The following is a 16,402-nucleotide window of genomic DNA, read 5'->3' on the forward strand; positions in this document are numbered from 1 at the left end:
TTGGGAACCACTGCTCTATTCTGTGAGACTCTCCACCCCAGCGCCTTCCTTCTCTTCATTCACTCGCCTCCATCTTGGTCTTCCCCCAAAAGTTTCCCATTTGGAGTCAAACCCAGTCAACCTTTTGAAAACCAAGAACAAGGGCACAGGTGAGAAAAATTAAAGCCGTCTTTACTCTTCCTGACTGTCACTGGTTTAAACCTCCTAGAATTCCCTCCCATCTGTTCTCTGCTCTCCTTGCTCATCCCCTCGGGCAGCATCACCCCTTCTCCAGCTACCCAGTGCATCCTTGGCCTCCATGCTGGCAATCTCTGTAAACCACAGCTCTGACTGTGCCACTTCCCTGCTTAAAATCTGGCTTTGCTGTCAGAGCTAAGCTCCACCTTCTTAGCCTGTTATTTGGGGCCCTTAGGGACATGCTGACTCCTTTTTCATCTCCAGTTTCCTCTCCTGCCATTGCCCTAGTCCCCGCCTCACTTCTCACAGCCACCTGGGGTTTCTGGCCATTTCCCTCAAATGTGTGCTTTTCTGTGCCTTTTGCATACAGTTTCTTCTGCCTGGAATATTTTCACCCCTAATTCTACATGATGAGCTTTGACTTCTCTTTCACAGCTGCTATTAAATGTTGCCATTGCTGGAAGGCTTTCTAGATCCTCTTGAGCAGTTAGTCCTTCTTGAGTTATTTCAGCGAAGCCTCTGAACAGTGCTTTGTTAAAGCTTTTCCTGCTTGGTCCACCCCCAACCCCTGTACCCTATAATCACCATATTTGTAAACTTCCGTCAGCGTAGTCCCTGGCTTGCAGAAGATACTCAGTGAATATTTACTGAATGACTTAAATTGCCTAGAAGGTTTATATTATATATTGTTTGTAAGGTAGTGATTCTCAACCTGGGTTGCACAGTAGAGCCCTCTGGGGAGTGTAAAACTCCTGTTTAGGCCACATCTGAGACCAATCCAATCAGGATTTCTGGGGATAGGACAGAAGCATCAGTATTTTTTAAAGCTATGGGCTGATTCCAACACACAGACAAATAGAGGCTTCTCCACCAGTAGGCAGACTCTATGTTCCTGACTGGTCACTTTTCCTCCCTACCAAGTGGGAGTGAGACATGTCAGACCCCACAATGCAACAGGCACAGGAGGGATGGTGTATCAGTCTGTTCTCACACTGCTGTAAAGAAATACCTCAAACTGGGTAATTTATAAAGGAAAGAAGTTTAATTGGCTCACAGTTCCACAGGCTGTACAGGAAGCATGGCTGGGGAGGCCTCAGGAAACTTGCAATTTTGGAAGAAGGTGAAGGGGAAGTAGGCACGTCTTACATGACTGGAGCAGGAGGAAGAGAGAGAGTAGGAAGCTGCTACATACTTTTAAATAACCAGATCTCACTGATAACTCACTATCACGAGAACAGCACCAAAGGGGAAATTTACCTCATGATCCAATCACCTCCCACCAGACCCCACCTCCAACATTGGGATTACAATTTGACATGAGATTTGGGTGGGGACCAAACTCATATCAGATGGATTTAGCCCGGGGATCAAAGGAGGGCTTTGTGGAAGAAGTCACCTTTAATTTAGGGAGGAGGTTTCCTGGAGAGGATGAAGAGCACACTGGGAAGATGCCAAACATTTTGAGGTATATTCAGGGAAGGGCAGAGGTGGAGAGGAGGTTAGAACAGAAGGGACAAGGGATCCTTGCAGGTGGACATCGCACAGGCTCCTGGCCAGGCCCTCCTCCAATGTCAAGGTGAGCCATGGGTGAGTGTCACAGGAGAACCACAGGAAGAAGTACCCTGAGCCACGGCAATTCTTATTTGGGGGTCCTAGAAAGGCCTGGACACCTGAGGAGTCCTGTCCTGCCTGTAGCAGATGAGTGCAGGGTGCTGGGGAGAGAGCCCTGGCTTGTCACAGAAGTGACTTGAGCCCCAGCTATTTCTCCAGAAGTCTTGTTCTCTCTGACTTGTTTCCTATCTGTAAATGGGGGTGACAGGACCAACTGTGGGCATGTTGTGAAGACCAAATTGAATTCCTTCAGAAAATGCCTCACATGATGCCTGGCACATGCTAGGAGCCCAACAGGGCAGATGTTACCAGGATTGAGTCTGGAAAACTTGGGTGAGCAGCAGGGGCCCCTGATCATGGTATTTCCCAACTACTGGGGGCCCTCACCCACTTTACAGGTAAACAGCTGCAGCACTGTTCCCTGATCCATCCATGGACTGACCTGCTGTGAATCAGTCCCAGGCTGGGTGCTGGCCTGAAGAGCTGTGGCCACCGCAGCTCCAGGCCGGCTCACAAGAGCCAACCGGCCCCACCTCTCCCCAACCCCACACTCCGGCACAATACGTTGGCAGTCTGAAACTGGCCATGGTGGGAGGATTTACATCAAGGTAATCTGCAAATTCTTGGAATTGGGTCTTGCTGTTCCACCAAGAGCCAGTTGTTAAACATTTACTGGGACCCTACTGCCGGGCCTGGGGCCACAGAAGCAACCCTGACCCTTCCCTGAAGTGTGGTCCATGGACCAAGCCTTAGCCTTGCTAGGGAGCTTTCTAGAAATGAAGAATCCTGTCCTCCCCCACAGGCGTCTGGATCAGAATCCCTGGAAGTGGGGTCTAGCAACCTGCAGTTTATGAAGATGCTCAGGTAGGCTACAGTTTGACATGCAATTCTCTAAGCAATTTGGGGTAAGCAGTACAGGCAGCTGAAAGAGCTGGCTTCCTGTCCCAGACAGCAAGGGCTTTGCAGGGATGTGGAGCATTCCAGTCTGAGAGTGATACTGTCCCACTGCATAGTCAGGTGTCCTCTGATTTCCCCCTCAATATTGCAGAGAGAAAATTTAAGAGAAAAAAATCCATATTTCCACCAGTCACACAACTGTTCTCATCTCTCCATGTTTCTTCCGTGCACAGGTTTATGTAAAATAGTTAGTGCAGTATTTGCTTTTTACACCTTAGTGCACACACACTTGCATCCCCGATTTCTTCCTGAACAACTACTGCCTTAGATTTTGACATGGTTGCCCAAGACCTGCTGACTTTTTCAAAAAGAGATTTTGTGAAGTTCTTTGAGCTGCCTTTTATTTTTTATTTTTCTAGAGCAGGCAGCCAGGGCTGTACAGAGATGATTGGTACCTGGAATGTAATCTTCAGAATTAACATTCCTCATGCCGGGCCGGGCCTGGCCTGGGGAGCAGGAAGGAAACAAGCCTCTCCAGTCACGGGCAGAGTCCCATGGAGAGGGGCACAGATCCCTAATCCGTCTTATTCTGGGAAGTATTTTGGCACAGCCTGGCTCTGTGGTTTATAAACAAATTCTTTGTTTGCTGGGGGTATTTGCAGCTCTGCTTACAAGGAAGTTATACACCCCTCTGCAGCCTTTCATAATGTGGCTGATTTTTACCTTCCGGTAAGGGATGGGTTGTAAACTGCCTGGGTTTGGGGCAACACAAATCACTTCTTAAAGGTGACTTTACTGTGCAGTGAAAGGCTTGGGAAAGCCTCTAGCATCCTCTAGCGTCATTTATTCTGTGGCTTTTCCTAATACCTTGCTCATTCACTCAACAAATATTTATTGGATGGCTCCTGTGACTCCATCACATCACAGAGGTTGGGCCGGGCGGAGACAGAGAAACTGAAGAACAATGTGCAGTTCTTCTGACCAAGTGCTTATGTGGCCTGTGAAGTAGTGAGGAGAGTCAGAGAGCACAACGGAGAGAAAGCAATATTTGGTCCCACCTGGAGGGAATGGTGGGAGTTCTCCCAGCAACAACAGCCTCTCAGGTGGAGGAAATATCTTGTGTGAAGGGTTGAGGCACAGAAGGAGGTGCTCATGGAAGTGTTTGGAAGGCAGGAGGAGGTTTGAAGCTGTGTGGCAGGAAATGAGGTGGAAATATTGGACAAGTGGTCAAGTTAGGTGGTCAAGTGCCTACGGTGCCAAGTGGACTGTTCGGTCTTTATTCTGTAGACATGTGGCTGACAGGGTGCCATCCACCAGACCCACACCCTCCTTTTGTCTGTGCACCCACTAATCCATGCATACACCCAGCCACCAATCCATGCTCCGTCCGGCTTCCACTCATCTATCTATCCACCCATCCAGCCGAAGCATCCTCTGCACCAGGCACAGGATTACTTCTTGTTTCTTTTTCTTGGAACCTGAGGGTCTTGAGGTTTCCCTAGCAACCCCTTGATACATATTCAACTCCAGAACTATCAGCCCCACATGCATCCCTCTGCAGACTATTCAGGTGATGGTGGTATTATAAACAAGGAATTAAGTAGTCATGTGACAGTGAGGCTCACCTGGACTGATGACTGGGAAACATGTACCCAGGATAAAGGTATCATGGGTAGGTCTACTGAGCACAGAATGATGTGGAAATCTCATTCTGACAAATAATTCTTTTTAAGAGTCAGTTATAGAGCTGTTAGAGCACATGGTAATGCTGTTAGAGCATATGGCAACATATGCCCTTCACATCATTATGGTGTATTTATGCACTTCAAATTTTAAAAAGGAATCAGGAAATTAAGAATGCACTGTTTTAAAAACTCTATGAATTAACCTTTTGTTGATTTGGGGTAAGGGGAGGAGGGAGCAGTGTTTAGCTCTTGGTCTTCTCAAATGGGTTCATTTTCGTAAATACTTTGGTCTAACATCTTCCATGATCTTTTATGGTGAAAAAAACATGCTAATTATAGAAGTCCTAATACACAAACACACACATACACACACAAAAACACACACACACGACAAGGTAAACAAAAATCACCCAGAAATTTTGTTAACAATTTGATGTCTTTTCCCCATTCTTTTCTCTGCATATTTTTAAGTAATTGTTTTAAAATGTCAAATCCATTTTATATAGCTTTGAATCTGATTTCTCCTCCCTCCACTTAATACAGGATACGAGAAAATACAATTTTTTTTTTGAAAATGCCGCCTTAAAGGCTGCGAAGAGCAACCTTGAATGGATGCTCTATAATTTACTGAACCAATCCCCTTTATTTGAGGGCTTAGGAAGTTGCCAATGTTTTGCTCTTATTAAATGATGGTGACCATCCTTCTACCTCTGTCAGAACTCTGACAATTTCCTTTAGATACAATTCTAGAAACGAGACAACCGAGAAAAAAAGTGTTTTAGATGCTGAGACTTAAATCCCTCTTGCCACATTGCCTTCCAAAAAGGTACTTGGGCTTCACGAGGTTATAGACATGTGTAGAAGGTGTTCCCAGCTTTCCGCAACGCTAGGGGAGTGCGGTAAGAGCGCGTGGCTGGCTGGCTGTCCCCGGAGCGTGCATGATGCTTCGGAGGAAACATTTATTTAAGAAAAACAAAACAAAACAGAATGATTTGCATTTCCTGCTTTCTGTCGTTCCAAACTCAAACCAATCTCCTTATAAAAAATTTAAAGAAATGGCTCAAGATTCTCTTAACCTGAGTTTCAAACCGTTGATTTAAGTTTCGGATCTGAAAGTTGTATAACGAGTTTCTGTTGAATAAGACAATTTCCTACTCACTTTTTACACCTAAACGTAAGGTTTACTCACTAAGACGTCAGACCATTGACACTTCTCTCGAAGAAGGAGACCGCGTCCCCTGCGCTCTCAGAGCCGCAGCCTGGCCAACAAGGGTGAGGGTTGGGGGCTTGGCCGCCCCCGGGATGGGGCGAGGGGTTCCCGAGGGCTTGGGAGGGCGGCTTGGGAGAGAGCTCCGGCTCCGGAACGAGGTGTCCTGGGAACACTCCCGGGTCTGTAACTTCGGACAAATCACGCTCGCTTTCCCGGCCTCAGTGTGCCGTTCTGTAACTTGGGTCTAACCCCGGCTCGCACACACGGCGGGGACGCGCACAGAGTTGGGCTGGGGCCGGGGCGCGGTGGGCACTCACCTCCGCCGTACATCTGGCACAGGTACGGGAATCGCCACACGTTGCCCAGGCCCACGGCGTACGAGATGCAGGCGAACACGAACTGTAGCGAGTTGGCCCACAGCGGCCGCGCTTTCTCCATGGCCCCGGCCTCGGCGCGCTCGGCTCCGGCTCGGGGGTCCGGCACGGCAGTCTCAGTGCGCGGTCGCCAGGCGCGCCGTCCCACCCCGGCTCGGCTTGGGGGTGGCCCCGCGCCTCCGCCGCCGACGCAGCTAGCTGGTTTTTAAATTGCTAATCTCATTAACGGCGCGCCCGTCCGAGAGGCGAGGCTGGTAAATGGATGACGGCGAGCCCCACCCCGCCCGATCGTCGCGGCCGGGAAGGCACCCGAGATTGCAGAGGACAGGGCGGAGTCCCCTGGGGTCCTCCGGCTCGGCGGGGCCTTTCTTCAGGCTGCGGAACTCCTCGAAGTGGGCGCCTTCCCTCGGCCACTCACCTGTCATTTATCGAGCGCCTACTGTGTGCCAGGCGTTGTCTGGGGACACGGCTGTGAACCACTTCCCAGCTCCGTCTTGGAGCTGACATTCTGGTAGAGGGAAACACTTGAATTGGACTGCATGAAATGCCCCATTTTCAACCATTTTTTAATTTATAGAAAGGACAATGTCATATGGTTCAACCTAGCCCACGTATAAGACTGAGAGACGCGAGGAAGACACCTAAGGCAAAGTAAAGGGGTAAGCAGTTGCGGGGGGTGGCCAGGGATGGTTAGGGAGGGCTTCTCAGAGGAGAGAACATAACATTTGCCAGGGGCCAGAAAGAAGTGAGGGACCTTCCCGGCAGTCCCGTCCCCTCCGTCCACCCAACAGCTTGGCCCTGCGTGCCTACTGGGTCCGGGGACGGAATCAGGTTTTGAACTGCTGTGGGGGACTCTACTGCTCAGGCCAGCCTAGGGGCCAGAAATTTTGATTCATTAGGCCAGGGTAGGGAACTAAGAAACCTCGTATTTCTGCCAGTCTTACAACGTGATTTGCTTGAGGGTGGTCACTAGATAAGACAGAGCTTGGTGCTTTGCAGTAATGTGGAATCTGGGTTTGTATACCAACTCTGCTACTGACTTAGCTGTGTGACCTTGGACAAGGCACTTGACTTCTCTGAGTCTCTGTGTACTCCTCTGTAATGCTAACAGATATCTTCCCCTCTCTCCTGCCTGGCAAGGAAGAGCTCATGTGAGGATTAATTGGGAACTTAGCTTACTACCTGGCACAGAGTAAGTTCTCAATAAAGAGGCCATTACCAAGTCTCCAGCAGGCTGAATGAATGAATGGGTAACATATTAATACTAATGCCACGCTTTGAACAGTGCCTAATACATTGTAACAGATAAGAAAATGCTAAATAATAATAATAAAATTTAAAAGAGATGAAAAGCAGAGTTGCTAGTGAAAATCTTACTTGAAGCCAAAATGAAATCAGTGCTCTAGGACAGCTCCTTGTTGGGCTTTCCCTGGAGTTCCTGCCTGTCTGGTCCCAGAGGAGAAGGGTGAGTAGGGTGAGGGAGGTGGAGGCTTCCTCAGACATATTACCTGTCCTGGAACTTCCTACCTCGAAAAAGCAAAGCAGAAAAAAAAGGCAGCACAGCAGGAGAAACTACTTTAATTTTTTTAAACTTCAGATTCTAGATAAATGTTTTTTCCTACCCATTGCCTCCTCCCCAAAGGAACCTACCATCCTGGTGTCTAACCCCATGGGTTAGTTTTGACCTTGATGAAAATGGAATTAAATGGGATGTACTTTTTCTGTGCCTGGCTTCATTTGCTTTCCGTTGTTTGTGGGGTTCATTCATGTTCTAGTGTGTTGTGTAGCTGTGGGTCATTCTCTCTCACTGCAGTATACTTGTCGGTGGTGTGAGTATGCTCCAGTCTACTACTGACAGATGTCTGTGTTGTCTCCAGTTTGGGGCTGTCATGAATAGGGCTGCAATGCACATTCTAGTGCACGTTCTTCCGTAGATGAATGCACTCACTGCTGGGAACTTCTTGGCCTTAGGATAGGTGTGTTTGGCTTTAGCAGATATTGTCAGACTGTTTTCCAGAGTGTGGTAGTACAAGCTGACACTCCCTTTGGGTTTCAGTTGCTTTTGCTTTGCATCCTAACACTTGTCATTCTATTTCTAAAGGTCTGCCCAGTCTTGTAGGTGTATAGTGATAGTTCATTGTGCCTTTTTTTTTTTTTTTGAGACGGCGTCTCACTGTGTCGCCCAGGCTGGAGCACAGTGGCGCGATCTCGGCTCACTGCAAGTGCCACCTCTGGGGTTCGCGCCATTCTCCTGCCTCAGCCTCCCGAGTAGCTGGGACTACAGGCACCCATCACTATGCCCAGCTAATTTTGTTTTTGTATTTTTATTAGAGACGGGGTTTCACCGTGTTAGCCAGGATGGTCTCAATCTCCTGACCTTGTGATCTGCCCGCCTCAGCCTCCCAAAGTACTGGGATTACAGGCGTGAGCCACCACGCCTGGCCCATTGTGCCTTATTTTAACTTCCCTCATGACCAGTAAGGCTGCATACCATTCCATAGGCTAATTGGGCCATCTAGGTATCTTTTTTCATGAAGTGCCTGTTCAAATTTTTTGTCAGTTTTTAATTGGGTTGTCTGATTTTTTCCTACCGATTTGTAGTTCTTTATGTATTCTGGATTTGGGTCCTATGCCAGTTTAGTGTATTACAAATTGCTTTTCTCAGTCTGTGTTGCCTTTTATTCTGTCAGTGGTGTCTTCTAATGAAGAGATATTTTTAACTTTAACAAAGTCCAATTTCCCAATCTTTTCCTTTAGTGTCCTCCTTTGGTGGTTTTTCTTATGTCCTGTTTAAGAAAGCACTCCTTTATCAACTCCAAGGCTGTGAAGATATTCCTGAGAATATATAAGACTCAGGCAAAATGAGTCTCAGCCATCCATAGATAGGGCTACCCGCCCTCCCCCTACAAAGGACTCCTCACAGCAATGGCAGCAGACGGAGTGCCAGCATTTTCTTGTGCTGGTTCCCTGGGCTCCAATTCGACGGGGCTGCCTTTTTAAAGTGGTTTTGCATTGTTTAGGCAGAAGGCTTGTTGCTGCCTCCAGCTATCTGCTTGCATGTTCTTGTTCTCATATATGAGTTATTCCTAGAGGGTACCTGGCTATGCAGTGACCTTCAGGAACTGGGCACTTTGGAGAGATGCCTCACCTGGACCATGAGGCTGCTGGGACCTTGTTGGTTTGATGGAGGCAAGGCCTCTCTTTAATTCCCTACCTCTGAGATCAGGCCAGCACCTCCTTCCATTCATACTGCTATACTCCCTGGGAGCCCATCCAGTATGTGAGACCCTGTGTGGTAGCTTTGGGCAGCACGAAGAATCACCCAGATAACCCCAAAGAGCAGTAAGTAAATGCAATGGGGCAGATAATCAGGGCTCCTGGTAGGGTCCCCATGACTTTCTGAAGCCTATGTGACAGCTCTCATCTGACAAGGCCAGTTGTGCTGCTGGGACTCATAGAGTGGAGAGGACAGGCCTGGAAGGGTTGGGGGGCTTCCGCAGAGAGCCAGCAAGACAGAGGGTGGAGAGGAGTGGTAGGCTGGCAGGTATGTAACCACTGGCTCTCTGCAGAAAAAGCTCTGATTTGTCACATTTGCCAATTTCTGTGGTGTAAACACTTTTACTATGACTTTTTTTTTTTTTTTTTTTTTTTTTGACAGTGTTTTGCTGCAATGCCCAGGCTGGAGTGCAGTGTCACAATCTTGGCTCACTGCAACCTCCGCCTCCCGTGTTCAAGCAATTCTCCTGCCTCGGCCTCCTGAGTAGCTGAGATTACAGGTGCCCACCACCACGCCCGGCTAATTTTTGTATTTTTGGTAGAGATGGGGTTTCACCATGTTGGCCAGCCTGGTCTTGAACTCCTGACCTCACGTGATCCACCCGCCTTGGCCTCCCAAAGTGCTGGGATTACAGGCATGAGCCACCTCACCTGGCCTTACTATGACTGATTCTAAGCTACCAAAGTGATGTCACTAAACGTGGAGACATGCAGTAGCACACCATTGTACTGAGTCTCCACTATCCAGATCCAACAGGCATAGATAATAGTACAGTCAATAATTAGGAAGTGCCAAGTTTTGTGTATTTATTACCTCTGTTTTAAATAACTTATTCAATTGCTAGCTTATGTAGTTTAATTCTTAGTGGCCATGTTTAACAACCAGCCCACAGAATTCTAGAAAATTTACCAGTTGGCTCTCAAGAGTGTGTGGCAGCTGGCTTTGGCATTCAGCAGGGGGATTGGGGCTAGGGAAATCACTTCTGCATGGCAGGGACAAGGGGAGTGAGTTCAGCTCAGTGGTGTCTGGTGCCCCATGGCAATGGGGTTTTCAGCTTAGCTGAGCCCCACTCTGAGTGCTCCTTGGGGCCTCCACTGCTAGTATGCAAGACACTGCCTGTGGACCGGTCTCACTGTGCCCCATGTCACTCAGGACAGACTTACCTGCAGGATAGAAGGCTAGCATGCCTTAGTTATCTGATTTCCGGAAGGGGTGGAGACACTGGGGAGGGCCCTGACTCAGTTGTATGGGTGTGGGCTCCTGGGCCCGTGCCAGGGTTCCTGATTACCCTGCCGACCATGAAGTTCATGCCACTTTCAATAATTTGCTCATCCTAGTGATGCCATTGTTACTTAACCACCCTCAGTGGCTCCCAGTCACCACAAGATAAAGTCCAAACTCCTTAGCCTGGTCTGTAAAGTTTTGAGGATTTTTAAAATTGGGCCCTGAGGAATTTAACTCTTGCACACCTAGGCTCCAGGAGAAGCTAAACTTTTCACTTTCCGGAATGTGCATTTTTATACTTCTGGGATGTCTCTCAGCCAAGAGCACCTCTGCTTTCTCAACCCAGAAAAATCCTGTCCTTTCTCTTGACCCAGATGATTTATTACCTCTTTTTAAAATTTAAATTTTAACACATTAATTTTTTTAGAGATGAGGTCTCACTATGTTGTCCATGCTGGTCTTGAACTCCTGGGCTCAAGCAATGCTCCAGCCTCAGCCTCTTAAAGTGCTGGGATTACAGGCATGAGCCACTATGCTTGGCCTTTTACCCTTTTTAAGAAGCCCCAGAACCCCATCTGCAGCTGGAATATATTGCTTGCTCTTCCCTGCCCCCGGGCCCTGGGTACATACCTGACTTTTCTTTTTGAGACGGAGTTTTGCTCTTGTTGCCCAACCTGGAGTGCAATGGCTCACTGCAACCTCTGCCTTCTGGTTTCAAGCAATTCTCCTGCCTCAGCCTCCTGAGTAGCTGGGATTACAGGTGCGTGCCACCACACCTGGCTAATTTTTGTATTTTTAGTAAACACAGGGTTTCATTGTGTTGGCCAGGCTGGTCTCAAACTCCTGACCTCGTGATCCACCCGCCTTGGCCTCCCAAAGTGCTGGGATTACAGGTGCGAGCCACCACGCCTGGCCCATAGCTGACTTGTAATGCCTGCCAGTGCTGTGCTGTCATGAAGAGTGCATCGTATGTGTCCCCTCTGGACTATGGCTCGCATCATGCCTTACTCATCCTTTTCTCCCTAGTGCCAGGTACATGGTTGAATCTCAATAAAAGTCAGCTGGTAAAGGAAAAACCTGCTGCAGATTCGAAGCATTTAAGTACAAGTTCATTTCTGTTGTTCACAGCTTCGGCAACAGTCAGATGTCTGCATTTTAGAACATTTCTTCAGCACATTCAAGTTCTTGACATGACTGTTCTCCCTGCTGCCCAAAGCACTTGCTCGCTATCCCTCAGGGAGCACAAAGACTCACACAGTACAAATAGGAGTGTAGAAGCCAGCAGGAGGAGATTCTGCAAAGGAAATGCTGGGGCTGCTGTGGGGACTTGCCTAGCTCAGGTGGTGAAGGAGAACCTGTGTGTGCACGTGCACACATGTGTGCGTGTATGTATGTGTATGTGGTGCCAAGGAGGTGGGAATGCCCCAACTTTTCCCTGAACCCTGGGACTCTCTTGGCTGCAAGTGGAGCTTCTGACCTCAGAGCCCCGGTGTCTCAGAGCTGCCAAGCTCCTTGGAGCAATGCTCCTCAAACATCAGCGAATCCCCTGGGGGTCTTGGTCCAATGCAGATGCTGGCTCAGTAGGTCCGGGACGGCACCTGCGATTCTGCATTTCCCACAAGCCCCCAAGGAATGGTGGTGCTGTTGGTCCAAGGCCCTCATTCCAAATCAGACCCATCGATACTCCCGTTCTCCAACCATGTTTGCCATTTTTGCCAATAGCCATATTTATCATGTTTGTGAACCATGTGGACTGTTATTTATTTATCATTTTTCTTTAAATTAATTCACTTTTCACTTCAATACATTTAAAAACAAAATTTTACATCACTACCATACACGTAAAGCTAGTGTTTTTAAAATTCATTTAAGATAAATTGAAGAAAATTTAAAAAGTTTAAATGTCTATGTCTGGTGCTGCCTCAAAACACCTTACGTACTCCCAGCGGCAGATGTCCCATATTGGGCACCACAGACCTTGCCCACGAACTGTGCCACAGAGCCCTAGAATTTCATGAATGTGCCTGTAGGACTGTGCCCAGGGCTTGGACAGGTTGGTGGGAATCCAACCAGAGTAGCCCCACCACCATATCTTGATATCCTGTATTGTGTTTCTGTGTGGAATTTTATTTGACAAAAAGTTAAGGTCCAAAACTATCAGAAACCCACTGCTGAGCCCATACATTTGTTTTAGAGAAGCCCTGGAGTTTGCTGTCCGATATGGTAGCCACTAGCCACATATCTTTACTTAACTTCAATTAAAATGAAGTACAATTAAAAATTCAGTTCCTCAGTCACATTTCAAGAGCACAATAGCCACATGTGGTTAGTGGCTACTGTCGGGACAGCACTTACATAGAACATTTCCATCACTGCAGAAAGTTCCATTGGACAGTCCTGACTTGTGGAAGCTGGGAGAAGAATTTGGTGATAATGCTTGCCACAGTCTCTTGCATTCTGGGCCTGGACTGTGGGCAGCTGCTTGGGATAAAGTAATGTCCCTCACACTGTCCCTTTGTTCTCAGAGAAGGAAAGATGGGACCTTCCTTCTCTCCTCTCCTCTGCCTCTCAAGATGCTGACCAGGGCATCATCTCCTGGCAGGAGGCCAGCTGTGCTGAAAGTGGCTCCATCCCTACAAGCTACTTCAGCTGCAAGATGGGAAACTCTAATACCATCTTTTGGACCCCAGTCCCTACCTCTCCTGCTGCCTTTCAGTCTCCTGGGCCCCAGAATGTGCTCTTTGCCCCACTGGTCCCCTGTCTCTGGCCCTCCCTGTTTTCCCAGTGCCTCCCTCTCTGGCCTGGCCTTCATGGTTGGTCAAGTCCACATATCTCCCTCTCACTCATCTTTGCCCTCTCTTCCTTTTGCTGTTTCTCAGCCCTGTGCCACCCAAACTTGAGGATTTCTGGGCTCCCCAGACTGCTGCTAGGGACTTCTGGAAAGTCTCACAAAGCTATGACTGTATCTTCCGCAAGCATAGATTGTGAGGCCTCGGCAGGGCCTTGCTGTTGCTCACTTCTTTGTGATCCACGTCTGGCTGTGGTTCGTTCTTGTGGCCCTGGGGCAGGGTTCCCGATCTTCTCCATATGCCTCAAACTTTTCTTTCCATACTCCTCATCCCGCTGATGACATAATAAAGGTCTTGGGAATCCCCCAGATGGCTAAGGGAACTACCCCTAGGCTGGGCCTCTACCTGAGATTCTCCCTGCTGTCCAGTCACCTTGAGTGTGGGCTCCCACTCCCTCCTGGGCCTTCAGCATCCCTCCCGTCAGTCATTCCTCTCTCCCTAGCATTGCTGATGGCTTTTCTTTTCCTTTCCTTTCCCTTCCCTTCTTCCTCTCTCTCTCTTGCTGTTCGCATAAAGACATTCTCAGGTTCCACTAGAAGCATCTTTAAAAACTTCTAGATCTGCTTACCATCAATCTTTAGACAACTGTGTGGTCCACATTCCTTACCTTGGTTCCTCATCACACCATTCATTCCTTTACCTCTTACAAGGTAGTAGTGTGGCACTCAGACCTAAGTTATAACAAATCCATTCTGTCAAATATACCCAGAAACATGACCCATCCTTTTTTCCTTCTGTTATAATGGAGGGGTTAAGGGAGGACCCTTCTTCCTGGCTAAGCCCCTTCCCATGCCAGGACTATGTGTGCCTTCAACTTCCTCTGTGTCTTCACACACCCAGGCTGATAATAGGTATACAGTAATTTCTAAATAAAGACTAGATGACTTAAGGATATTAATATTGTTAGAGAATAGAGAAATTTGGAAAATGAAGTTAATGAGTACTCAAAAAGATATTAACTATATTCAATTTTTTTCTTTTTTACTTTTCATAATGAAATACACATAGAGAAAATTACACATAAAAAAACTATACCTCAACAAATTATCATCTCCTTGTGTCTTTCAGATGCCAGCTTTCTCCCTGAAAAAGTATCCACTATGCCGACAGTCCTTTCTTGGCTTTTTTGTGTGGTCTTACCACTTAAGCATGAATCCCTAAACGCTATACTTACTTTTGTCTGTGTTTGAACTTCATATTGTGAAAAAATAGAGTGGCTATTCTTTGATGTCTGACTTCTTTTGCCTTACATTATGTTTTCTTTGTTGTTGTTTCATCTAAGTTGATATTGCAGCTATAGTTTTTACTTGGCCAGTCTATTGTATTTCTTATGTAACTACAAATTATTTAACCACTTTACTATTGATAGATATTTGGATTATTTAGCTTTTGGATATTATGAAAAATGCTGCTTGGAACATTCTGGTACATGTGTTCTGGTACACATGAGCAAGCATGTCTATGTGTAGAAAGGCTGAAACATAGTGTGTATGTATTTTAAGCTTTGATAGATAATTCCAAAAGTGTTTCAATTCATTTATATGTATGTATTCATACAATACGGTCAGAGAATTCTAACTGCAATATATTCCTGCATAGTTTGATGAAAGCAAAAAAAAGGAGAAATGAGTTATTAAAAATTCAGGACAAATATAAAGCACAAAGTAAGACAGGAGCAATATCAGTTCAAATGTATCAGTAATTACAATAAATGTAAATGGATTCAATGGGCCATATGAAAGACAGAGACTGTAATGACTGGAATAAAAAATTCACACATACAGTTACATGCTATTGACAAGAGATATACCAAACATAAGCTCACAGCAACATTTACATGAATATATTAGGAAAAGAATACATTAGGATGAAAAGAATATATTAGGAAAATGCTATCCAAAAGAAAGCCAAAAAAATATCATTAGTGATAGAAAGGACATCTATCACTAGAAAGCTATAACATTTAAAAAAATTACAGTTCATAAAATAGCTTCAAAAAACAACAAATTGATTTCTTCATGGATTACATGGATAAATTGACATATCTACCATCATGATGGAGATATCTGTACTCATTTCTCCATTTTTGATAGATAAAGCAGAAAATAAAAAGAACAGGGAGTGAAAATTGATTAATACAGATTATTAGAATAATCTAAAATGGAACTTCTACAAATAGCAATAATAGAAATTAAAAATTAAGTGGATGGATTTAAAAGTGGATGAGACACAGCTAAGGAGAGATTTGATGAACGCAAAGATATGTCAGAAAAAATTATGTGGCACATTGCACAGAGAGATAAGAAACAAAAACCAAGAAAAAATTTAAGATATATAAATAAGCTATGTAGGACAATGAAGTCTAATATATGCTTACCTAGAATTCTGGAAGGAGAAGAGAGACTGGAACAGAGAAACACTTAAAGTACAACAGCTCAACATTTCCCACCACAGATTCATGAAGCCCAGTGAATCCTACGTAGGATAAAAAAATGTAATGCCCATCAAGATGCCTCATGATCATGCTCCAGAACATCAGGGTGAGGCCCTTAACCCACATCAAAGGTCTCACCGCAGAGGAGTGTTTAATTTGTGGCATTTTGAAAAAAATTAAAAGGTAGAACTTAAATCTTGGACAGGTAAAATAGCATATGACAGATGAGTGGTAAGAGCGGAAATGTTCTAAGGAGGTGAACAACTTTAGACTTTGTGAAAGTATGCAAAGCAAACATTTCAAGTTGTCCCCAGATTTCTTTTATAGCTTTCCAGGATAGAAAGAATTCATACACTGCATTTGGTTGTTATGAATACAGTTGCTTTTAGGACAGTTTTCCCACCTTTTTATTTTCATGACATTGACTTTCTAAAGAGACCAGGCTAACTGTTTGAATTGTATAATGTCTTACATTCAGGATTTGACTGATTATTTCATTGTGGGGTCATTTAATATGGCCTTTTCCCCCTGTAACTTGCAGAGAATGTGTTAATTTAGTCTTTATATGGCACATGCATGCACGCACATACACACACACACACACACATTATAACATCATATAGGCACTTAGGCAATTAACTGTATTTATTATTGATGGAATTTT

The 16,402-nt window shown here is 46.0% G+C and overlaps 1 protein-coding gene and 1 long non-coding RNA gene across 9 annotated transcripts in view; one reads left to right on the top strand and one right to left on the bottom strand.

Moving 5' to 3' along the window:
* The window catches only part of SLC6A20 (solute carrier family 6 member 20), a 41,088-nt gene extending 34,953 nt beyond the window's left edge, over positions 1-6,135 (bottom strand). For all 8 annotated transcript variants that reach the window (NR_176012.1, NR_176011.1, NM_001406067.1 and 5 more), the window contains exon 1: positions 5,898-6,135. Coding sequence is in view for 6 of the 8 variants with exons in the window: in NM_001406067.1 (NP_001392996.1) it covers positions 5,898-6,018 (121 nt within the window). In the remaining 2 variants the exon portion in view is untranslated. The remainder of the gene's footprint in view (positions 1-5,897) is intronic.
* Positions 5,498-14,611, top strand: LOC107986082 (uncharacterized). The gene is made up of 3 exons (XR_001740680.2): positions 5,498-5,642; positions 6,532-6,613; positions 14,373-14,611. It is a non-coding gene; the product is annotated as an uncharacterized LOC107986082 (long non-coding RNA).
* Positions 14,612-16,402: the final 1,791 nt, after the last annotated feature.

This window comes from Homo sapiens, chromosome 3, assembly GCF_000001405.40.
Source record: "Homo sapiens chromosome 3, GRCh38.p14 Primary Assembly".
Classification (NCBI taxonomy): Eukaryota; Metazoa; Chordata; class Mammalia; order Primates; family Hominidae; genus Homo; species Homo sapiens.